The sequence below is a fragment of the Homo sapiens genome, chromosome 2, assembly GCF_000001405.40.
Source record: "Homo sapiens chromosome 2, GRCh38.p14 Primary Assembly".
Taxonomy (NCBI): Eukaryota; Metazoa; Chordata; class Mammalia; order Primates; family Hominidae; genus Homo; species Homo sapiens.
In genome coordinates, this window is record NC_000002.12 from 118179672 (window position 1) to 118205537 (window position 25866).

The 25866-nt window shown below is 43.9% G+C and overlaps 2 long non-coding RNA genes across 4 annotated transcripts in view, besides 2 other annotated features; both read right to left on the reverse strand.

Annotated features, from left to right (window-relative positions):
* Positions 1–3250: 3250 nt before the first annotated feature.
* On the reverse strand, positions 3251–6715 carry THORLNC (testis associated oncogenic lncRNA). Its single transcript, NR_144530.1, has 3 exons — positions 6560–6715; positions 5667–5719; positions 3251–3651 (listed from the first exon to the last, which is right to left on the reverse strand). It is a non-coding gene; the product is annotated as a testis associated oncogenic lncRNA (long non-coding RNA).
* Positions 6700–6879: an enhancer, noted in NCBI's record as "active region_16443". NCBI's record gives its function as "activates an Ori minimal core promoter by ATAC-STARR-seq in GM12878 lymphoblastoid cells {active_cell/tissue: GM12878}" and the evidence as "EXISTENCE:reporter gene assay evidence [ECO:0000049][PMID:35858748]".
* Positions 7020–7069: an enhancer, noted in NCBI's record as "active region_16444". NCBI's record gives its function as "activates an Ori minimal core promoter by ATAC-STARR-seq in GM12878 lymphoblastoid cells {active_cell/tissue: GM12878}" and the evidence as "EXISTENCE:reporter gene assay evidence [ECO:0000049][PMID:35858748]".
* The window catches only part of LOC105373578 (uncharacterized), a 38616-nt gene continuing 21051 nt past the window's right edge, over positions 8302–25866 (reverse strand). For all 3 annotated transcript variants that reach the window (XR_923249.3, XR_923250.3, XR_001739664.2), the window contains exons 3-5: positions 18054–18166; positions 17502–17698; positions 8302–8509 (exon numbers count right to left, since the gene is read on the reverse strand). This is a non-coding gene — a long non-coding RNA (uncharacterized LOC105373578). The remainder of the gene's footprint in view (positions 8510–17501; positions 17699–18053; positions 18167–25866) is intronic.

A 25866-nucleotide genomic window follows, 5' to 3' on the forward strand; every position in this document is an offset into this window, starting at 1 on the left:
TGTGCTTGTGTCTTGGCTGACCTCTAATTGAGTATGGCTCAAGCAGCCCCTGGTCAAGGGTGAGCTTGTGCAATTTTACCTGAATGGATGTGTATAGAACTGACTTTTGAAAAGAACTAGTGCAGAATTTTTTCTCCCTAATTAGGCCACATTTACAAGAAGAAATTTGTATATGTCCAAGTATGACCAAAGACACTGGATTCAGAGGTCTACAAACAGACAAGAAACCTAGCAGCAAAAATGGGCATTTTGAGATATTAACATTTGGAACATGATACCTCAGCAATAAGTGGGATTTGGAAGAGTCAGACCTGAGTAGGGCCCACAAGATTAACCTCAGTGCCACAGAGTAATCGCAGAACTAGGCAACCAGGCAAAGCAGGCACTAGTAATTTTGGAGTGCGTGAATAGTGGGAATAGTTGAGAGACCATGGTATGCCCTGAGATCCTGGAGTGGATATTAGCCTGCTCACAGGGGCTTTATGCTGATGTCTGCAGATCATTGCTGAAGGTGCACAATAGCTGCCTCAACAGGTGCTGAGGCTGACCTTGCTCTTAGAGCTGGACTTCATTTCATCCTATTATTAAGGTGCATTATTCAAATACAAAGTATAGATTGGCATTTCTGCCTTGATTGGGATATTTGTGATGGAAAAACAGGTGGATGGAGAAAAATGGTTAGGAAGAGCAAAGAATGAAAAGAAAGAAATAGATGAATGAAAACTGAATATAAAATTTAATTGGAAATGCTCGGAGCAGTTATAGGTTTCACACTCAAAAACAGAACTGTAGAGACAGCAAGACCCCAAAGAGTGCAAGGACCAGGGTGAGGTCCATGAAAGAGAGAGAAAAAACAAAAACAGAAACAAAACTCTTTCACCACACTCAATATGAGCTGGGATGTGCTCAAAGCTAACATAGAAAGACATGCATAATGCCAACTTGGGCACAGTCACAGACCTCTTATATTCTAGTGAAATCATCAAAATGCTTCAAGAAGATAGTTTGAACACAAATTAAAGGGAACATTTCTTTTCATTCTATTAAATTATGTGGAACATGAGGTGGTTATGGATTGGAGTTATTACTGGGACTAAAGGATAGAATTTACATGGAGGCAGGTTTAGCAGGAAATTTATCATTAAGAAACTGTCCAGCAATGAGGCAGACTTATTTAGACATCTTGAGCTCCTGGTCATTGAAAATGACCCATCAGGCAGGTGCTGGAAGTGATTTCTGCACCGGGTCAATGGTTGAACCAAAGACCTTGCAATTCTCTGTTTAATTCTTAGGTTTAATATTTCTAGAATCAAGAAAGACTTAGATAAATTCTTATGTGGCAGATCCCATTACAGGTTGTTACTGGAGACTGAAATATGGTATAATACACATTTATGAAATAAGGTCAGGGAGGAAGGAAGGGAAAAAGAAAGGGCACTAACCTGGATTGTGCTTGGACCTGTGCTGAAATTTGTATTGTCTTATTTAATCCTTGCAATTATCTTTTGACGTAGGTGCAATTAGCTTCAGTGTTACAGATAAGGAAAAAGGCAGTCAGAGAGGCTAAGTGGCTTGTCTGAGATGACACAGGAGCACAGATGGATTTTTTTGCCTAATCTTTCTAAAGCCTAGTCCAAGCTCTCTCTGCCATGCCATGTGCCTCCTGAGTGCCCTAGGCTGGTATTCTCCTGCGTGCTGCTGTCCAACTTGGCTCTGGTCATATGGCTTTTGGGCTTGAAGTGGTGCGACCTACCTTATTTTCTATTGTTATCTAAAGGAACGCCCATCTCCAGGCAGGATGGCATAGTAGTCAGTGAACTGAAATGGAAGTAAGAATGCACTGGCCGTTTTCCTGTTCTGTAAACTGCAAAATGAATACAACTCTCTCCACTCATCCCCTCAACAAATATGAAACCAAAAAAATCATAATTGTGTAATGTTCTATTACTTATAATTCTTTGGTAAAGCATTTTGACTTGGGAATCAGAAAACAAGATTCTTGTCCCTGGACCAGCTTTTTAGTCCTGCTGAGCCTCCATTGCTTTATTTTAAAAGCATAGAAAAAAAGGAAAAGCTAAATTATCTCTAAGATCTTTTAAGTTATATATATTTATGTGACATACAATAATTATATATAAATTATGTGTGTAAGTCTGTACGTATATGTATATGTACTTATGTTAATAGTTAAATCGACATCTACTTATCTACACTAATATCAGCAACAGTGAAGTAATTGCCCAATAATCCCAAAACAGAAAATAGTTTAAAATCCAGTGTTTCGTTTTGGAGTGCATAATTTAGTGATCTTACTGTAGATTTACTTAAAATAAGGATAGAATAAAATTCTGTTTCCTAGTAACACCATAGTTGGTTGATGCAAGTAAGACATCCAGGAGCATTAAAGGAAATTCACTTGGGTTGAAACAAAATCATCTGCAGATTAATGGCCACCAGCTGAGATCTGACTACAGTTCAATGTGGAGGCTGGCATCAGACAGGCCTAAGTTTGTGTCCTGACTCTTACTTTCCCTGACTAGAATAATCTTAGGCAGGTTATTTAACTTTTTTGAGTCTCAGTTTCCTTACTGGAAAGTGGAGATAATAGTACCTATCTCTCAGGATTGTTAAGGGCAAGAATTGTGCAAGTATGGGGCCTGACATAGGTTGGTGCTTCACAGATGGTAGCCATATTGGCATGCAAGACCTTCCTGGTCATCCACACTCCTGCCCTCAAGGGCAAGGTCAGTCTTGCTTCTCTTGGGTCAGCATGCTGCCTGGGAGTGCAGAGGCTTTTGCCAACCATTTGCATGAGGGGCAAGGACATCTTGACTATAGAAATGAAAGTCTCTAAAATGTGGCCCCTGGAAGAGCCATTCCCATTTGCTTTCCACCATGCTCATGAGGAGTCAGGGGATTTTCGTCATCCCTGTAAATTAGCCTCCAGTTACCAAACTTTAGCTGCCTCTTGCTATAGCAGGCCGATGCCTGGAGTACCCTGGCCAGCTCTCCAGCTAGGAGGGGGTTAAAACCAACATTTGCAGATAAAGAGGTAAACATATTTACATTCCTCTCTTCACACTTTATGCATATGTCATGCAGTGAATAGTTTTAGAGGTCTGTTTGTACTATCTCTCCAGAATTTTTACAGTCTGGAGGACACAAAATCTCTATAAAGTGACTTATTGAAATAGAAGCAGATTGGTAAAACCGTTTCCCTCTTATGAACTGTGAAGAATGATCCTCTAAATGAAATCAGGAAGGAACTGGACAGAATCTTGTTTAATGGTCTGACAAAATGAATCACAACGATTCCAGACATCCATCACTGCTAAAAGGGAACCACAAATGATCTGTGAACCACTATATATTGATTACCCATGTAGTACAAGTGTCGGATTTAATGTTCACACACCATAGAGAGGCGGCAGGGACAGATGGTGCCTTAACTCTTCTTTGATAGATTTTAATGGTGAAATATTGATTTCTGTCTGGCCAAGACCTGCTGTTAGGGGCCAAAGTCATTTGTTGGGTATTGCCGGACACCCAGTTGGCCCAGCGTAATCAATCATTTTTGGCAAGGCAGGTGAAAATCCAGAGAGAAGCACCTTGGAACCCAAACTGGAGCGTGATGTGTCTGAGTCCAGCCACCTAGAGAAAGAGGGAGAGAGAGAGGACTCTTGGAGATTGTGCTTGTAAAGAATTATTAATGATAAGACATGTTTACTGAGGAGAGTCGCAGCGAATCAGAGCTGACATGAAATAGTCCGGGAGCCTCGTGGAGAAAATGAGCCTCTTGCTAAGAGCGACTATATTTTATTTAAACATCCTTCTAAGGCTGAGAACTCAGGTAATCTGTTGTGTTACAAGCCACTGGCTGTTGTTGCTATCCAGAGAGATAACACTGAGGCGCTAATAGGAACACATCAATCACAATCAGGCTGCAATTCCAGCGGTGTCTTGTCCTCCCAGCTCCTCTTTAAGCTCCTTAATAATGGTGATAACATAGTTCGGGGGCTGCTGAGAGGGGCTCTCCCCTCTGAGGGTCATATTCATAAAGTGAATAGCTTGCCAAGTCAGCATCCAGGGAACGGGATCTATGCTGGGGGACTTGTGTGCAGGAGAGGGAGGGGCATGGACCAGCTGGGGAGGGTTGGACTCCAACAGGAGAATTTTCTATCATCTGTTGGTCCCTGGGTTTTGTGATGTCACTTCTGCCTCCTTCCTAAGAAAGGGGTGTGAGTGTGCATATTATATGTAATTATTAAATAACAAGAATCATTTTCTTGGGCAGCTTATAAAATGGTTTAGAAGGCAATTCCCAAAGGGAACCCTCAACATGTTCTGAGTGATGACAACCTCATGGGAATAAGTGTGTGGCTTCCCTGGAAGATTCTGGTGCAAGATATGTCAGGAGGGTGGGGATGGGTGGGGGAAGGGGCCATCCTAGTCTCTGCAGCTCTGTGTCAGCCTCTAACCTATCACCCTCAAGGTTAAGCATCTATTTACTTGTTTGACTCCCCCATAGGTGATGAGTTCTTGAGGGTGGCCATTGTGTCTAATTAATTATTGTATCCTCAGTACCCCAGCACATGGCTTAGGGACTCACAAGATGCTCAATACATGAATATGGCTGAATATACAAGTGCAGGCAGGTGTTTATGTTAAAAAGAAGTCAGACATACTTCCTTGCACCTTTTGACAGTTCACACGAACATGTGTGTGTTATGCATGTACATAAATATATAAATTCATAATAGAATGCACTGACCTTATGAAGACATGCAACACATTTTATATCTACTTGTGTGCTTTACTTTTTATGAAACAGCATAACTTAATGGATAATACACTGGACTCTAGAGCCAGACTGCTTGGATTCAAATCCTGGCTCCACCACTTATTAGAAGATGACTTTGGGCAAGCTGCTTCAAACTTTTGTGCCTCAGTTATCTCATCTGTAAAGTGGGGATAATAACAGTACCTACAATTTGAGGATTAAATGAGTTATTAGATGTGAAGCATTAATAGCAGTTCCCTGCAAACATAAGTATAAATATTTTATGTTATATATTATGCTTAAATTATATGTCTAGCCATGGCATTATATTCAAAATATTTACATAAATGAACGCATATATATGCATTCCTTTAGATAACAATAGAAAATAAGGTAGGTCGCACCATTTCAAGCCCAAAAGCCATATGACCAGAGCCAAGTTGGACAACGGCACGCAGGAGAATACCAGCCTAGGGCACTCAGGGGGCATATATATATGCATCAAAAGCCTTTACATGGTTGGTATTAGGAATCCCAACAAGTATTTGCCTTGTTCTCTTTGATATAGCAAACCCGCGCTTAGAGCCGTACGTTTATCTTGGTGGAGCTTCGGTGGGATGGTGGATATTTTGATTCATGGTAAATTTGTGTACTCTTAACGCTATTTCATGTTGGGGCGTCAGTGGTCGGTACACTTGCCTGACTGTATTTATCTACCAAAACCTGTAAGTGTGTGTCTCTAGCTAAACAAGTGTATATATTGGTATTCATATACAAAGGCGCTGCAGGACAGGAGGAGCCCAGCTTTGTGGACGGCCCAGCTGTGCAACCTGCCCCCAGATGTGAGCCTGCAGGCGGCAGATTCCGCTTAGATTATCTTGCTTACCTAATGATGTTTGCTTCACTGCCTTGCTCGATTGTGTTCACCAGGACGGCAGGCTATTAAAATGTCAAGGCACATTGAATTGTTGTTATCCGGGAGAGAGACCTTTCCAATCAACCTGTGTTGTGGGGGTTGCAAAAACTCCCTCCGAGAAAGCGATTGGAGAGAGGCTTTATGGCTTTTTTACATAGATGGGGGTGAGCGGGGAGGTTGAGAGAGGGCACGGCGGGGGAGGGGGGAGGAGGGGGCGGGGGGAGAGGTGGGGCAGGAGCCCGGGTTTATGGCAGCCGGAGTGTGCTAATTAAAATGCCATCTTCTCAAACAGGTATTGGTGGCTTCTTGCTTTTCCATTTATGGATAACTGCAATATGGCCTTGCCGTTTGGTTTAAAAAAGGGAGAGGGGGAGGTGACTCACAGCGGGCAGTGGCAGTGGGAGCTGCAGTGCTGAGGATCTGGGTGGGGTATAAGGAGCGATTGTAAGGCAGAAACACCAAGGAGTTATATCCCTGATGTATTGGCAGGAAGGGCTAGAGAAAGAAACAAAAACAAAGACTTCCTTGGCCCTGCGCCTGTCCAGGCTCTGCTAAGAGCCACGTTCCCTGCATACAGACGTCGGCGGGCCTTTCTGGGTGACAGTGCTGAGCCGCGGCTGCAGTGTCACCAAGCGGCACCTCGGCCCCGGCCCCGCCCGCGCCAGCTGGGACAGTCTGGAGACCTTCTTTTCATGCCGTCAAGTCTCATTTTGCCAAGGATTTATTTTTCTTCGGGGAGAGAGGGAGAGCGGGGGCAAAGGATGTTCTCTTAAAGTATCCAGCGATCAGAGCCGCTGAAGCCTCCAACCAGAAACTCAAACTTCCCTGGATTGACTTTTCCCCCTTTGTTCACATCATCTCACAAATATTTGGCTTTCCCCGGCCACGTCTGTTCTATTTCTGCTCCGGAGAGATGGCTTTGTTTTTGCTTTCGTGCGGTTCTGCGAGGCGCTCCACGATCCCGCCCCCTGGCATGGCAGCACCTACCGGCGGCGCGAACTCGGCTGCTGTGGGCTGCTGCGCGCTCTCGCCTTTGTCAGTTTCATCAGCCGGCGTTTCAGCTGCGCGCGCGCATGCGCCTGCCCACCCCTCCGCCAGTTCCGGGCTTGCGTCCCCGCCAGGCTCCCGCGCCCGTGGTTCTCAAGTTTCCCGCCCTTCTAGCCCGCGCTACACCCTTCCCAGCTCGCCACTTTATTTTCTCGTTGTTGGCGCAGCCCGTTCTTCCGGCCTAAACCAAATCTCATTTTCGTTCCTCGCCTCCTCCCTCCTTCTCGTGACTGGATTTTGGCAGAGTATCTCTGTGGGGCTACCCCAGATCCCTCAGCCTTGGATCCTTCCATGGGCCATGCTCCTGGAGTGTCACTGGCCAGCGAGACTTGCTTTGGTCTGTTTTCCCCATCTTTTATCTGAAGACTTCTACCCCCACAGCCGCAGCACGCAGTCCGGCGCCGCTTGGGAAGCTTTGGACGGGATGCTCCCTCCTTCTGCTTCCCTAGTAGGGGTGAGGGCCGCATATTTGAGTTCCCAGGCCACTTTTCTCTCCCCTATAGCTTTAAAATGCTTCCTTGAAAGTGTCCGTTTACTTGTCTTGAATTAAATTGGTTTATTTATTTAATCAACACATATTTATTGAGAATCTACTATATTTAAGTATTAACCTGTTGTTAAATGTTGGGGATATACTGGGAAGAAAAACAGACACCTCTCAGCCTCCCATGGCCTATAAGAGATTTTCTCTGGGTCGAGGACCATGCAGTATTTGTTTCTGTAACCTGGAACATATAGATGCTCAATAAGTTTCAAATGGACGAAGGAAAGAAACAAATTCTCTCCCTGCCCTGAGCCACCCCCCATTTTCTATGTGCTGTATCATAATGCCGAAACACAAGCTCACTGTGATAACGTTGGTAGATTTTTCTCAAATTCCTGTATTTTCATTTTCTCCCCCTCTCCTGCTGAAGGTCTTCAGAGCCACCAGGTGGCTTTGGTCCAGTTCTAGCACTCCATTTTATTAAGGCACAGATAGGACAGCGTCAAATATCAAGTGGTTAATTGGTGATGGAGCCCAGAACAGATTTGACCTTGGGCCTCCACAGTCCTAGTCCGTGGCTCCGTAAATGACACATAGACTTGCATGTCCTTGTCTCCTGTGCCTGTCACATGTCCCCCAGCCAGAATGTCAAGAAAATGTTAAAGCAGGCTGGTACCTAGTTTCCATTAAATTCTCTTCTAGGTTCTTCCTGGACTCTCTCTGGCACTGCTTAAGAGGGAGATTAACTTAATGGATATTAAGACATGATTTCCTTTCTTAGCTTCCCCTTAGCCCCTACCCTTGCCCTCAATTAACTGTATGCAGCACAGTAGGCTCAGCTCTATCTTAATTGGATTTTCTGACAATCACCAGTAACTTGGAGCTGAGTGCTGTGCCCATCACCTGGGTCAGTTTATTTCCATGATTAGATTTATTTAATCAACATAACCCCCATGTACCTGGGCTGAGAGGGACAGATAGCTGCCCAAATGTTCCCTGGACATTGTGCTAATGGCAGACTTGATTTCATGCCAGCAACCTTAGCCTCAGCCAGAGCTGGCATTTGAAATCGTCACTGTGGTGGTGAGGCCATGGCTTCGGGGCTCCAGGGGGTGCTGCAGTGATCCAATAGCCTGACACAGGGGGAAGACGAAGAGGGGCATTGGAGGGACTGAGTCACCAGCAGCAAAGGACAGCTCTGCCTCTCCTGTGGTACACTGGGGGCAGCGTGGATTCCATCATATATCAGCTGGGTCTTTTGGCTTCCATCTAAGTTCCTTATCTGTAAAATGGGAATAGTAATGATCACAAGATTGCTATAAGGACTCAATGAGATAAGGTCTATAAAGTGACCATCTCAATGCCTTGCGCAGAGTGTACCCCACCCCTATATTTCTCTGTCTGGTGTAAGTGCACACACGCATGCACACACACACACACACACACACACACACTCACAAGCTTCTTCATACTGGCTGGGATCCTCTTCATTCTTTCACTTTCATCTCATCTTTTGCAATATTTCTTTATTCTCTTCTTCCTTTCCCTGCATTTCCTTTCCTCTTGCTCCCTCTCATTCCCTCTTTTCATTTGGCTGCATTTCCTTATCTTTCTGATGAAGATTTCTCCTCTGCGCCCTGCCCATAATGGGTCCTGTGATCTGGGCAGTTGCTCCTCTGTCTCTCCAGAAGCACTTGTCCTAGCTGGGTTATCCTGTCCTGCAGTCATTTACTTCCAAGTCTGTCCCATCATCAGACTCTGGGCCCCTCGAGGCAGGGACTGTGGCTTGGTCGGCTAGCAAATAGGGGAGACTTGGTAAGGTTGGTGGAAGGAGGCAAAGACTCTTTTTGTGATTCAAAGTCAGTCTTAAAAACTCCAAAGAAGCACCTGGCCACCACTAGTTCCTATGCGGTTTATAAAAATTCGAGAGGCACCTCCTTCCTCCAGCCAGGGAGTCTGGCTAGCTGCATGGAGGATGGGCTGGGCTTTGGCCCTCATTTGCTCCCTTGGTTCAGGGCCTGTGCGTAGGGCGCACTCCATAGCTGTATGAGTTATGCTGTAGAGTAGCCAAGGATGCAGACATGGGCTGCCTGGGCACTGGCCACTTGCTCCTTGAAGTGGACCAGGCTTCTGCTTTTAAAGAAGTCCCTGCCATCAAGCTCCTCCTCGGTCATGTAGCTATTTCCCACTGAGCCTCAGTGGGATGTGGGTAGCTGCCACCCAGTGCGACATAGCTGCCTGCACCCCCATGGACATGCAGTCATTTGGCAGTGGTTGCTACCTTCAAGGCAGTAGAAGGGAAGAGTGCCTCCTTCCTCATTTGCCCTGAAGCTGCCCCCATAGAATGACTTTTCTGCTTTAGTATTTCCCTTGAGGTGATTGTGGAGAAAGGCAATCATCTGTCCAGCTTCTTTTATTAAGTGCCTACTACATCAGGTACTGTGCAAAAGTTCTTTGTTCCTCACAAATCTCCAGGAAGTAGGCAGAGTCTCCTCATTTCAGATATGGAAATCAAGGCTCAGAGGAAAAAAGTAAGAATGGAAGATTCTTTCCAGCACTCTGTTCTCCTCGTTTCCAGGGATGGCACCCGACCTCTGGCGTCTCTGAAGATCCTCTTTGGTATCTGTCAGGCCTCAGCAGTTAGGTTGGAAGGGGCACCTCTGAGTTGGGTAAGAGATATGGTTTGAGAGACTGGCTGGGTTACGACTTTGTTTGGCCAAAGTTTGGGCCATATCAAAACCATATAGACACTGGCCTGCTAGAAAAGCGTCCCTTTTCTCCATGCCAAAGAACAGCCAAAAAAAGATAGATCAAAACATCAAGCTCCCGGGAGGCCACACACATTTGAAGTCGCTTCTGTTAATATAGCTTGTAAAAATATAAAACACATTTGTCACTATTTTGGAAGCAAGGAGGCAGAAAAGGTCATATTTTCATCTCTTCAGGTTTCCAATAATAGAATGAACGTTTGGAGTATTTTTGTTTTGTTTTGTTTCCTGCTCTTTCAATGTGTCTCAATGCTCTCAAATTACTAGTATTTCCACGATTTCCTGAAATTTCAGTCTTTCACCCCCCACCAAGGGCTGGTGTTTACCACAGCCTCAAGCTGGGCTCTATCAGTTTGCTGGCAAGTGACTACTTAGAGAACTTTAAAAAATCCATTAGGAATGGCAGGCTTGTAGGGATTGAGGAATGGGGGAGGTGAGCATACTCCACAGAAAACACAGGATGGACCCAGGTTTGAAAGACTGTCCTGCCACTTATGAGGCAATTCTGAATCTCTCCCAGCCTCGGTTTTTCCATCTGTAAAATGGCCCTGACTGTGAGTGCGTCACAGGGACACTTTGAGGAATGAATGATATCACACAGGTGAAGAGCATGGGGCATTACTTGGACCATATTGGGCTTTCCCTAGATGTTGTTTAACTTTCCTTTCCAGTTATTCTAGTCACATTGATCCTCTCTCTAGGGTGCTCCTATGTGACACTTGCTTGACTTAGTTCCAGGAAATTACTAGTTCTATGCTTAATGACTAGATTTTCATTTACATGCATTTGTCTTAGACTCCCCACTTCAAGTGGGATTCCATCAAGGATTTAAATTGGCTTTGAATTTCCCCCACTGGGCTGGACATCCTGGGTATTGCCTCTGTCTTTGAAGTGTCTTTTTGAAGTGGCTGCAGATCACAGGGAATGAAGGCTCTTTATTTGTATTTGATGCCATATGGCCACTAGATGCCCTTGTCTCTTAATTACATAGGACCACTGTAAACCTTTGACAAAAGGCAGTTTTGCTTGGTGGTTACAAGCAGTGAAATCTGATCTCAGCCTAGCCTCTCTCACTAAATGTTTACTCATTGATGAGTTGCTCAACCTCTGAGACTCAATATTTCCACTGGTACAATGGGGATAATGAAAATCATCTCCCAGGATTGTTTAGAGGAGACCACAGGATCAGAGATGCAAATAATTAGCCCAGGGTCTGGTACAGAGCCGCTGCTCAGTCAACGATAGTTATTATTATTTGTGGTTGATATATTTATCCCTAATGTGCGAAAGGTCTATCTATCTATCTATCTATCTATCTATCTATCTATCTATAATCTATCTAGCTATTTATCATCTACCTACCTACCTTGTTAAATATCACTAGCCATTTCCATTATAATCCTCCTAAGAGACCATTTATGAAACAATGCCTCCAACAACTGAGCAAAAGTCGTGCTGCAGCCAAATCAAGGACCATTATCTCCCGTGCCAGTTGTAGACCAAATTCATTTAATTTGCTAATTTCACCCTTAGAAGTTGTTTAATGCCAGCCAACATTTGGAATTTTTATCTGCACTTTGCAAAGCAAATGACATAGTAAAATACATTAATATAGGCAAATATCTAATTAGGCTTAAAAAGTTAGATTCTACATGTAACAAAGATTTGCACTCTTAAGAACAAAGTAGCTGTTGCTCCTTTAGAAATTTTATTAACTGTCTTCCCTCATTGTGTGAAGGAATACTTTAATGAGGTTCTCATCTGTTTATGAAATAAATATTTGTTGAGTCACAGAGGATATGAAGACATGGTCCCTGTCCTCACAAAAGTCTCAGTCTAGTGGGGAGACCAACCTGGGTCAATACACCTGTGCTATGGGACAGGTTTATAGAAGTGTTGTGGAGGCAGAGGGGAGGGCTTCTTATCACACTTGGAAGAAAAGGGAGGTCAGGGAAGGCTTTCTGGAGCAACAGAGATAACCCTGCAGTTTTACAGAGGAGGAAGAAACACACTGGGTATGTTGAGGGATAGTAAATGGTATTATGGGTGGGGGGCGGGTGAAGGAGGCAAAGCAGAAAAAGGCTGAGGTCCCAGACAAGTGGCTAGAGTCAGTCCAAGAAGTGTGGACAGGATCCCAGGAGGTGCAAGAGGGGAAGCGATGTGATCGATCTTGTGCGTTAGATTACTGGGAGGATGGAGGGTGGGCTTGGGAGTGCGGGGTTCTGCTGAAGCAGGAGATAGGGAATTGCTTTTCAAAATGTGGTCCAGGGACCGGGAACATCTGCATTACCTGGGAGCTTGTTAGAAATTCAGACCCTTTCTCCCCACCCTGGACCAACTGAATCAGAATCTGCATTTTAACAAGGTCCCCAGGTAATATATATCCAAACTGCACTGTAAGGCTCTTGAAAGGTTGGACTAAACCAGGATGGGCAGTGGCTTTGGAGACAGACAGAAGGGGAAGAGTTAGAGTCCTGTCTGAGCCTCTGGTTCCACTGAAAGTGGAAGGACCTAGCAGGGAGTAATGGAAGAATTTCTTGGCAAGTTCTCTCTAGAAGCTACTGTGTAAATGGGCATGTTGTGCCATCAGATCTGTAAATTAGTTAGCTGTCCAGAGTTTATTAGGAAGTCCTAAAATGTACTAAAAGAGAATGTGACAGGTGAATTATTTATGCAGGGCTTTGCTCAGATAGAGTACTAGGTAAACACCATTTGAAGTGAGTGGGATCTTCCTTAGCTTGTTCTACTAGCTTTAAGGGTATGTAATGTGCTTGGGGGTGGGGGATGGGGTGGGGCTATGGATGGATAAAGGATATTGGACGAGTGGAATGTCTGGCAAGGCCATGGGGTTGGGGGAGCGGCAGTGGTGGTGGTAGGTGGTGACCTTTCTTTTAGAATAGCTCCATTCATCCAGACATTCATATGTGGAGTATTATACCAGGCATTGGGAACATAGAGATGGGCTAGAACGAATATAAAATGTGCCACAGACTTAAGATGTTTGAACAGCCACACACATAGACATGATGTGTGCAGCAGGGATAGGAGCTCAGCACCTACTCAAGCTTTGGTAGCAGTTAGTGCTCACACACATAGTTTCTGAGCCAAGGCACCCAGATTCCAAACTCTTCCTCCTGGGATACCTTGGGCAAGTCCCACAACCTCTTTATGCTTCAGCTTCCACGTTAGCAAAATGAGGATGATAATACTTCTCAGGGTAGTATCAGAATTAGATGAACATATGTATTTGAAATGTTCAGGAAAGGTAGCAATCATCATCATATCATTATTATTGTTGCTATTATTATATTATTAACTTTGTTTTTATTCTTGTGAGACATATAGAAGAAATACAAAGCATTCTCAGCTCTCAAAAAATCTCCTAGTTAGTTGGAGAGAGGACACACCCATTGGTATCACCATGCAACAGAAGCTAAATGTGGGGCGGGTAGGGGGCATCAGTTTGGAGGTGCTCTGAGGAAGGTACTGCCCATGGGCTGGGATACCCAGGAAAGGCTTCTCAGGAGAGCTGCTGTTGAGGTGGGAACATGAATGAGGGGCAAATGTGTCCTACAGTCATACTAGAAGGAGAGCAATAGCAGGGGAACCCTGCAGATTGGAGGACGGAAGGATCTACAGCAGCCTTTTGGCCCAGGGCTTTCATTCTGCACATGGGGAGCAGGCCAGAGGGCCTCCTTCTTGCTCAAGGTCACACAACAGGTTAGAGGTTATGCTGGGGCAAGCACCCAGTCTGCTGGCTCCTGAGCTAGTGCTGTTTCCACCTCAGCAACAGTGTGTCTGCATAGAAAACCATGCATATCCACATGCGAAAAATGACAACAGACCTTACACCCTTCACAAACATTAACTCAAAATGGATCACAGACTTAAACGTAAAACGCAAAGCTACAGTATTTTCAGAATGTGACATAGGAGAGAATCTAGATGACCTTGGATTTGATGATGACTTATTTTATTTTATTATTATTATTTTTTTAGATGGAGTCTTGCTGTGTTGCCTAGGCGGGAGTGCAGTGGTGCAGTCTCGGCTAACTGTTAACCTCCGTCTCTAGGTTCAAGCAATTCTCCTGCCTCAGCCTCCCTAGAAGCTGGGATTACAGGCATGTGCCACCATGCCCGGCTAATTTTTGTATTTTTAGTAGAGACGGGGTTTCACTATGTTGGCCAGACTCCTCTTGAACTCCTGACCTCAGGTGATCCTCCCGCCTCAGCCTCCCAAAGTGCTGGGATTACAGGCGTAAGCCACTGTGCCTGGCCCTGATTATGAGTTTTGAGATGCAACACCAAAGGCATGCTCCACGAAGGAAGTAATTGATAAGCTGGACCTTATTAAAATTAAAAAGTTATGCTCTGCAAGACACTGGCAATAGAATAAAAAGAGAAGCCACAGACTGGGAGAAAATATTTGGGAAAAAATATCTGATAAAGGACTGTTATCCAAAATATAGATAAAAACTTAAAACTCAACAGTAAGAACACAAACAACCAGATTAAAAAATGGGCCAAAAACCTTAACAGACTTCTCACCAAAGAAGATACACAGATGGCAAATAAGCATATGAAAAGATGCTCCACATCGTATATCATCAGAGAAATGCAAATTAAAACAACGATGAGACACCGTTATACTCCTATTAGAGTGATCCAAATCCAGAACACTGTCAACACCAAATGCTGGCAAGGAGAAGGAGCAACAGAAATTATTCTTCGTTGCTGGTGGGAATACAAAATGGTACGGCCACTTTGGAAAAGTTTGGTGGTTTCTCACAAACTAAACATACGCTTATCATATAATTCAGAAATCACACTCCTTGGTATTTACCCATAAGAACTGAAAACTTACACGCCCATGAAAACCTGCATGTGGATGTTTATAGCAACTTAATTCCAATTGCCAAAACTTGGAAGCTACCAAGGTGTCCTTAATTAGGTGAAAGGATAAATTAACTGTAGTATATGTAGACAATGGACTATTATTCAGCACTAAAAAGAAATGAGCTATAAAGCCATGAGAAGACATGGAGAAAATTCAAATGCATATTACTAAGTGAAAGAAGTCAATCTGAAAAGAAGCTATATATTGTGATTACAAATATATGACACTGTGGAAAAGGCAAAACTGTGAAGGCAGTAAAAAGATCCATGATTGTCAGGGGCTGGGGGTAGGGAGGGATTAATAGGTGGACACAGAGGAGTTTGAGGGCAGGGAAAGGGGTCTGTATGGTAACGTAATTGTGGATGCATAACATCACATTTGTCCAAACCCATAGAATGTACAACACCAAGACTGAACCATAAACTATGAACTCTCGGGGGCCGGGATGTGTCAGTGTAAGTTCATCAATTGTAACTAATGGACCACTCGGTGGGGACATATTGACTATGGGGAGGCTATGAATGTGGGAAGGCAGGGAGTGTCAATTTTTCTGTGACCCTACAACTATTCTAAAAAAATAAAGTCTGTTAAAAAAAAAAAAAAGTCCTTGCAGGAGCTCACTAGTTCTTGGGGGTGGTGATATTCTCAGGCCAACTGCAGCAAGGTAGATGGAGAGGAGCCTTAGGTTCTGAGTCTGGTGAGAGATCGAATCCAACCTCTCCACAAACAACTGGGGACCCCTTTAACCTAATTCTTTTAATGGCTCTTCTTGTCCCCTCCCTCTCTTTCTTTTTTCCCTCTTCAAATGTGTTCCAAGGCTCTACTGTATGCAAAGTCTCATGTTAAGTGTTGGAAACATAGACCTGAATGAGACTTAGTCTCTGTCCTCAAAAAGCAGAGTAGAAAATGTCTGTCCTTCCTTCCTTCCTTCCTTCCTTCCTTCCTTCCTTCCTTCCTTCCTCCCCTCCTTCGTTTTTTGTTTGTTTGTTTTGGTTGACAGAGTCTCACTCTGTTGTCCAGGCTGGAGTGCAGTGGCACGATCACAGCCCACTGCAGCCTTGAGCTCCTGGGTTCAGGTGATCTCCCACCCCAGCCTCCCAAGTAGCTGGGACTGCAAGCAAACACCACCATGCCTGGCTAAGTTTTGTATTTTTTGGAGAGACAAAGTTTTGCCATGTTGCCCAGGCTGGTTTTGAACTCTTGGGCTCAAGTGATCCACCCGCCTTGGCCTCTCAAAGTTCTAGAATTACAGGCAGAAGACATCGCTCCTGGCCAGAAAATGTATTTCAGTATAAGAAATCAATTTCATTTGATTGGCAGTGGCAGCCTTAGTGCTGTATGAAGGGATCTGCTGCTCCACCAGGACCCTGTGGCAAAGCATGCGATGGATGATTGATTAGCAATGTATGGCAAGCGTGCAGGTAGGTGCAGGTAGAGAAGACTGGTTGCTTCTGGTTTGTGCATATTTTCCCAGAAACAAATCCTGGACTTGGAGAATGTTTGCATTTGGGCCTCACAACCATAAATGGTAATGTTCACTAGTTAGCGCAATCAATGACTAGACTAGCACTAGAGAAAAAAAAAATCCATCAGCTAGCCAACCAAAAACAAACAAAAAAATCCCACCTCATAAACAAACAACCTTTCTTTTCTCTTAAGAATCTCTGGGATTATAAGAGGCCTAGACTCTCCAAAGGGTAGCCGCATATAAGATACTCTCTATGCAGGCCTTTAGAGGTGTTTCTTTCCTTGATCCCTCCTGATTTGACCAATGGGTTGTATATGTTGTGTTTAAAAAAAATAAATCCCAAGTTTTACATAATTTGTACATAGAACCCCGTTGCATTGCACTCAATGCTGCCACATGTCCTGATCCAGCTTCTGCCTTCTGGAGTAACAGGTGATAGGCCAAAGCCTCTGCTCCTCCCCAAACCTGATAGGAGACCATTGAGTCGGTCTGCGGCTTGAGAAGAGAGCATTCTATGTAATGTAGCAGTTACAACATATGATGAACATGATGAATGGTCTTCCTGGTCTGGGCATATTCAGGCACAGAAGCAGTACTCTCTGTAAGCCAGCAATAGTAGGAGGAAGACCTGGGTTTACTTTGCTGGAAGTGGGGATGGCTTTTACAGACTCATTCACACTCTCTGGGCCTGGTTTCTCTTTGTGACCACAAGTATATGGCTGTGATGTTCCAGGATGCTGTTACTGTCTAGCCTTGACTCTGTTTTAGAGCAAAGACACCTGTAGGCCTTGGTAGGGAACCAAACAGAGGTCTTATTGACCAAGTGCATGAACCATGTCAGCAAATTGTGAAAAGCAACATAACTATAAATTCACAGTGCTCACAGTGCTTAAGGATTCCCAAGTGCAGAGGCAGAATTAATATAGAGGAAAGGACACAGGCTTTGGAGCCAGGCAGACCTGAGTTCATATCTTCAGGGTGGTGTGATGTTGGATGAGTTATTCTCCTAACCTTTGTTACTTCATAAACTGGGATATTAAGTCCTGCTCATTTCATTGTTGGGAAAATGAGAAAGCCAGTAGTGTGATGGTTAGGATTAGGTTTGCTATGAGTAACAGAGACACCACATAGCAGTGCTTACACAGATAGTAGTTATCTCTTGCTTCAAAGTCCACAGATGTATAGCCTAGGGCTGGCCTGGAAGCTCCTCTCTGAAAAGTCCTCTGGGATCCACTTTCTTTCTGCTCACTTCACCATTCATCAGGTTTGTCCTTATTCCCAGGGTCTAGTATGATCACAACCACATCCACATTTTCCAGCAGAAGACCAGACAAATGCCTGAAAAAGAAAGGGACAAAGGGTGTGGACCAACCATTCTTTAAGAAAGGTACCAGTGCTTTCATAGCCCTTCTGCTTACATCCCACTGGACAGAACCAAGTCACGTGGTCACACTCAGCTGCACAGGACCCTGGGAAATGTAGTCTTTATTCTTGGTGCTCACGTGACCTGCTAAAAGTTTATTTATGGAAGATGGGAAAGAATAGACTTTGGGGGTCAACAAATCTTTGTCCCAACTTATGAAGCCCTTAGCACTGTGGTTGGCTACATGATAACTGGTGTGGGGCTGTGGGCTTTCATTTCAGTCTAGTTGCCACCTGCACGTGACACTCTGGCACTATTTTCTAAATTTACCTAGAGAAGTTGTGGCAGAAAAAATTCGTTTTACTCCCTCCTTGCCGAGGAGCTGGTGGACACTTGGTGAGCGTAGGTTTCTTGTCCCTAAGCTGTGTATCCAGGCATGCTCCCTACAAAATCAGAAATTGTTTGGTAATTTACATGGTCACCTTTGCTTACCAGGAGTAATTCTATGAGAGGAGTAGAGCTCTGACATAGCACACTACAGTGGTTGCTGATCCCAGCCTACAGTTCTTTCAAGAATAAAAACATATTTAAATGACACTCCTACACCCTTTTCTTTTGTGTTCTGTGGCATAAAGACAGGTGGCAGCAACTCATTTTCACCAATATTTACCCAGTGGACTCTAAAGCCAGGCAATATGCAAAACATATATGTGGAAATATCCACATATATTGTGAGGATACAAACACTGCCTCTGACCTCATGGAGTGTTCTGTAATTGGGAAAATGGATAGAAAACACATGATTACCCCAATACTTTTTAAACTATAATAATATCTAGATGTAATCACCATTAATACCCGAGGAGCCATTTTCCAAGGACAGATGTTCCTGCTTCCTTCTCACCTGCCATATCTGACCAGAAACCAGGTCTTGGACTTTTTTCTTGGAAATGTCTCTTACATTATTTTTCCCTTTTCACCTTTCACCATTGCTGGCCTGGCTCAGGCCCTGTGACTTCCTGTGATGGCTGGATTTATGCAGAGGTTGCACCTGTGGGCTGTTGAGCGAGGCACTCTGCACCAACCAAGTCCCACCAGTTACTGGCTTAGTAATTTGGGGTTACTTAACCTTTTGTGTCTCAGTTTCCTTCTCTCTAGTGTGTGACAATAACAGACAGACTGTATTGATTTGTTAGGGCTTTTGTAACAAAGTACTGCAAACCAAGTGGCTTCAACAACAGGAATTTACTGTGCCACCATTCTGGAGGCTACAAGTCCAAGATGAAAGGGTTGGCAGTGCAGGGTTTATTCCTTCTAAGGGCCATGAGGGAGGATCTTTTCCACGCCTCCCTCCTAGCTTCTGGTGGTTTGCTGGTAATCTTTGGTATTCCTTGCCTTTAGATGTCTTACCCTAATCTCTGTCTTCATCTTCACACGATGTTCTCCCTGTGTGAATCTGTGTCCAAAGTTTGCCTTTTTATAAAGATGTCAGTCACATTGGATAAAGAGCCTTCTCTACTCGAGGATGACCTTATCTTAACTAATTACATCTGCAGAGACCCTATTTCCAAATTAGTTCACATTCTGAGGTACTGGGGTTTAGGATTTCAACATATGAAGTTTAGAGGACACAGTTCAGCCCATAATGCTGCAAACCCTGTGGATGCAAATGTGCTACATATATATATATATATGTAAAGCACTTAGAAGAGGGCCTGGCGTACAGCAAGTGCTTAGTAAAGGTTAGGAACTATCATTTTTTAAATGTGATGTCTTTCTAACTGGTCCTCCGGCTCTGATCTCCACCCTCCAATCTTGCCTAAATGATATATCTTTCTGGGGCTGGGTGCAGTGGCTCACCCCTGTAATCCCAACACATTGGGAGGTCGAGATTGGTGGATCACTTGAGGCCAGGAGTTCAAAACCATCCTGTCCAACATGGTGAAACCCCACCTCTACTAAAAATACAAAAAAAAAAAAAAATTATCTGGGGGTGGTGGTGCATGACTGTAATCCCAGGTACTTGGGAGGCTGAGGCAAGAGAATCGTTTGAACCCAGGAGGTGGAGGTTGCAGTGAGCCAAGATCGTGCCACTGCACTCCAGCCTGGGTGATAGAGTGAGACTGTAAAAAAAAAAAAAAAAAAAAAAAATTGGGTGTTTCTTCAGTATAGATTGATTGCATTATGTCTTTGCTCAGACCACAAGTCTGGCTGTGACATTCAGGCTTCTACATAATCTGGCACAAATTAATCTAGCTCTTCTCTGTATTCCCACATTACATTATTTATAGTGTTATTGCATGATCTGCTTTGAACTGTGATTGGCTGTGAATGCCAGCAGCCTCCGTGGTGATGGCCTTAGGGCCAGGACCATGCTTATTTAATCTATTCTCAAGTATAGGTCTGTTCTCATTCCTTTTTTTTTTTTTTTAATTTTTCTATTGATATATCCTAGTTGTACATATTGTTGGGGCACATGTGATATTTTGATACATGTATACAGCATGTAATAATCAAATCAGAGTAATTGGGATACCCATCCCCTCAAACATGTATCTTTTCCTTGTGTTGGGAACATTACAATTCTTCTAGTTATTTTGAAATATACAGTAAATTATTGTTAACTATAATTTCCTTACTGTAGTATTGAATGCTACAATTTATACATTCTAACTGTATTTTTGTATCCATTAGCCAACCTCTCTTCACCCCTGCATTCCCCCTTTTTCTTCCCAACCTCTCATATCTATTATTCTACTCTCTACTTTCATAATATCCACTTTTTAAGCTCTCATCTATGAGTGAGAACATGCAATACTCATCTTTCTGTGTCTGGCTTATTTCACTTAATATAATGCATTCCAATTTCATTCATGTTGCTGAAAATAGCCAAGATATGGAATCAGCCTGACTGTCCATCAATGGATGAATGGATAAAGAAAATGTTATATATATATATATACACACATATATATACACACACATATATATATACACACATATATATACACATATATACACACATATATATACACATATATACACACATATATATACACACACATATATATACATATATATGCACACACACACATACACACAAGGATGTCATTCTTTTTTGTGGATGAATAATATTCCATTGTGTGTATGTATTACATTTTCTTTATCCATTCATCCACGGATAGACACTTAGGGTGATTCCGTATCTTGGCTATTGTGAATAGTGCTGCGATGGACAGGGGAGTGCAGGTACCTCTCTATATACTGCTTTCCTTTCTTTTGGATATATACCCAGTAGTGGGATTGCTGGATCATATGGTAGTTTGTTCTATTTTTAATTTTTTGAGGAACCTCCATACTGTTTTCCAAAATGGCTGTTCTGCTTTACATTTCCACCAACAGTGTATGAGGGTTCCCGTTTCTCTGCATCCTCTCCAGATGATATCTCATTGTCGTTTTGATATGTATTTCCCTGATGATTGGCAATGTTGGGCATTTTTTCATCTACCTGTTGGCCATTTGTGTTTCTCCTTTTGAGAAATGCCTATTCAGGTTTTTGCTCATTTTTAATCAAATTATTATTATTTTGCTATTGAATTGAGTTACTTATCTATTCTGGTTATTAGTTCCTTATTGAATGGATAGTTTACAAATCTTTTCTCTCATTATGTGGGTTGGTTCTTCACTTCGTTGTTTCCTTTGCTGTGCAGAAACATTTTTGCAGGATGTGATCCCATTTGTCTATCTTTGCTTTTGCTGTCTTGTTTCCATTCATTTTTGCAGCTCCTGTGTCCACAGTGGTGCCAGGCTTCCACCAGATTTTGTGCAATGCTGACTAGTGTTTGCTATTGGGTGTGTGTTTGTGTGCATCCATCTGTCTTTCTAGGCATTCCCTCAGAAGGGGCGGCAACACGTGGTAGGGAGTCAGGCTCTATCTGCCCTGGAGGGCTTTGCTCTCTCCCTTATACCCAACCTCTGCTCCTGATCTGGCAAGCCGGCCTTCATCACACCAGCCTCTGCTCCTTTCTCAACCCTGGACCCTGCTAATTTCCATCCTGTCGTCTCCCAGAACCTCCCCATCCCCCAGGTGAAGTCTAAAGTTGCTTATGGATAGTGAGGAAGTTGACTATCAGGAGTAGCTGATGTCTGGAAGGAGAAAAAATCTTCATGGTAGAGGAGCATGAAACTGCATGGTGGAGTGACAGTGGCTGGGAGGGGCTTTTCCAACCTCCGTGTGCTCTTTCTTTTTCTTTTTTTAAGTCTTGTTTCCATAAGTGGTTCCTTTGTCCTTTCTCAGATACTTCACATCTTCATGCTCCCTGGCCTGTATCTAAATATGCTCTTGAGAAAGAAGACATTATCCATTTTTTATCTATCAATAAGAAAAGAAGCCACAAGGTTTCACCTTCCCAGTCTGGTCTCTGATTAGGGCCTGGAAGGCTTTTCCTTATGGATATTTCTGATGTCTGATGTCGGGGAGGTTGGCATGCGAGTGGGGGTAATATATACCCCTGCATGGCTGAAAATCCTCCCTGGATAGAGCTCCTTCACGCCCAGCTCGTTGGCACCCATCCTACAACTTCTCATCTATACATTGATCTCCTTCATTAGTGGACCACAAATGGTTCACTAATGGACCATTAGTGGTCTGTTAGTCACTGGCAGCTATATGAAATTGCAAAGCGACAGATTTTGTGGCCCTCCGTAGGTGTTTCCATGTGAATGATGGGCTGAGCACACACGAGAAACCTGAGTGACTGAAATGCAAGGATGCACATGCCCCCTGCATGCAGGACACATGCATGAACATGGACTTGCCTGGACCAAGAGAAGGATTGAATGAGGGCAGTAATTCGTCCTTGTGGGGGATTCTGGAGAGGCTGTCTTGAGGAGACAAAGGAGCAGACCATAGCTAGAAGACAAGAATGGTTAGGAGTGCTCTAAGAAGGGAGCAATACCTCAGAATCTCAGTAGGGAGCCCAACTTGGAAATGGGGAGAAGTCCAGACCAAGAAGAATTGATGGCCGGGCATGGTGGCTCTTACCGGTAATCCCAGCACTTTGGGAGGCTGAGGTGGGTGGATCACCTGAGGTCAGGAGTTCGAGACCAGCCTGACCAACACAGTGAAAGCCCGTCTCTACTAAAAAAAATTTAAAAAGTAGCCGGGCTTGGTGGCGGGCACCTGCAATCCCAGCTACTTGGGAGACTGAGGCAGGAGAAGGGCTTGAACCTGGGAGGTGGAGGTTGCAGTGAGTTAAGACGGCATCATTGCACTCCAGCCTGGGCAATAAGAGTGAAACTCCATCTCAAAAAAAAAAAAAAAAAAGAATTGATGGTGAAACATTCACTTTTCTGCCCAGAGAAATTTCCTTTGCTTTCTGGATCCCATCTGCCTTCCCAGCTAGTTCTGCCTACACAAGCCTGCTCTAGCCCATAGGGACCCTCAGTTAAAGTAGAAAAATATGCTTCAACTGGGCTGACCTGGCCCTGCAGGCACACAGGTTGGCCAGCAGATGGCATCTTTGTGTGAATTGGAAAAACCATGGCACAAGGCTTCGTCAGCCCCGTGCTGAATTTTAGATTCCCCTGGTGCCTTCAGCAGAGCATCCTTGTTCAGGGTGGACCTGCGCAATTATACAGAACAGTCTTGTCTACACCCCTGAGACCCACCTTGTAAACCTTCTCCCCATTCTCTGGACACATCAGCCCCCTTCACAACTCCATAATCTTAATACGTTCTGTTCTTGTCTTCCTCTTTGCAAATTTCAACTCATATCTCCAGAGTCAGCTCAAGTGTCCCGCCGTCGGCAACACTTCTGGGCTTGATGAGGTAGAGTGGAGGCTCTGAGTTCCTGCATCACAGCAGTGAGGGGCACTGCTCATCCACCAACACACACACACACGCACACACACATGTCTTTTTCTGAAACTAAACTTTTTCAAAGCAGTGTCTTCACTAACAATGTGCAATACACTAATACTTTCTATTCAATTCCATTCTGCTTTTATTAATTTCTTTTTAAATTTTATTTTAAGTCCCTAGGTACATGTGCAGGATGTGCAGGTTTGTTACATAGGTAAACATGTGCCATGGTGGTTTGCTGCACCTATCAGCCCATCACCGAAGTATTAAGCCCAGAATGCATTAGCTGTTTTTCCTGATGCTTTCTCTCCCCCTGCACACCACCCCACCTCCCAACGGGCCCCAGTGTGTGTTGTTCCCCTCCCTGTGTCCATGTGTTCTCATTGTTCAGCTCCCACTTATGAATGAGAACATGTGGTGTTTGGTCTTCTGTTCCTGCGTTAGTTTGCTGAAGATAATGGCTTCCAGCTCTATCCATGTCTCTGCAAAGGACATGATCTTGTTTCTTTTTATGGCTAAATAGTATTCCATGGTGAATATGTACCACATTTTCTTTATCCAGCCTATCATTGATGGGCATTTGGGTTGATTCCATGTCTTCGCTATTGTGAATAGTGCCGCAGTGAACATATATGTGAATGTATCTTTATAATAGAAGGATTTATGGTTCTCTGGGTAATTGCCCAGTAATGGGATTGCTGGGTAAAATGGTATTTCTGGTTCTATGTCTTTGAGGGATCACTACACCGTCTTCCACAATGGTTGAACTAATTTACATTCCCATCAACAATGTAAAAGCGCTCCTGTCTCTTCACAGCCTCACCAGCATCTTTTGTTTCTTGACTTTTTAATAATCGTCATTCTGACTGGCATGAAATAGTATCTCGTTATCTTTTTGATTTGCATTTATCTAATGTTCAGTGATGTTGAGCTTTTTTTCATGTTTGTTGGCCGCATAAATGTCTTCTTTTGAGAAGTGTCTGTTCATGTCCTTTGCCCACTTTTTAATGGGGTTGTTTATTTTTTTCTTGTAAATTTGCTTATGTTCCTTGTAGGCTCTGGATATTAGACCTTTGTCAGGATTCCATCCTGCTTTTAAAATGCTGGTTGTGACCTATTAAATTGATTTCCCAACGCATGAGAGTCGCAGCTCTCAGTGTGAAAGACACTAATTGAAACCACCAAGAGGTAGGAGTCTGAGAAAGTGCTGGCCAGTGAGTGCACCTGAGGGTTCTGTCTTTGGATAGGCATGGGAGGGAATGGATAGTGTCTGGGGTCAGTGAGGAGGTGGTCAGGCCTGTACTCAGATGTTTTCCTTTCCATGGCCATGAGCAGCAATGTCGCCAATGCCCAGACATATTTCCACCTCCCATTTTGAGCCCTGTCTGGCACCTAGGACCTTCCTGCTGCCTCCTGGGAACCCCCTCGTGGTGGCTAACGATGGCACTATCCCTTCTCTCTGTCTCTCCACATCTGAGGCACTCTTTCTACTATCCCAGTCTTGTCACCCAAGGCCGTGGAAGTGAGGGGATATGTCTTATCCATTCTTACATCCTCAGTACTTGCAGAGTGCGAGGCCTTCGGGTACTCAATGAACACTGGCTGAATAAATGAATGAGTAAATAAATAAGTGGGTGACCGTAGCACCAGAGTTCTGCTGAGCGAGGAGTTGCAGGGACTGCCAACTCAAATGCCTTCAGGGATCAACAGGCAGGTAACATCATTCCATGAAACAGGCCAGGTGGGAGACATAGGAGACAGCCACGAAACCTCTGGAAGGCCAGTGTCTCTGTATGACATGTTCCTCTTGCAGCTGTAACAAATCACCACAAATATAATGGCTAACAACAGAAATGTATTTTCCTACAGTTCTGAAGACCAGATGTCTGATCTGAGTCTTACAGAGCTAAAATCAAGGTGTCAGCAGGGCTAGATTCTTCTTGAGATCCCAGGGCAGAGTCTATTCCTTCTCTCTTCTACCTTGTGGTGGCTGCCCATGTTGCTTCACCGGTGGCTACATCACTCCAGTCTTGCTCTGCCATCACTGTCTCTGCTCTTTTGTGTCAGATATCTCTGTATCTTCCCCTTATAGGATCCTTGTGGTCATAATTAGGGCCCATTCAGATTATCTAGTATAATCACTGCTTCTCAAAATCCTCAATCATATCTTCAAAGTCCTTTTTGCCATATAAGGTCACATTCATAGATCTGGGATTAGCACCAGGAAACCTTGGGGATTATTTTTCAGTCTACTGTATCATGGCTAGGCAGAGTCAAGGG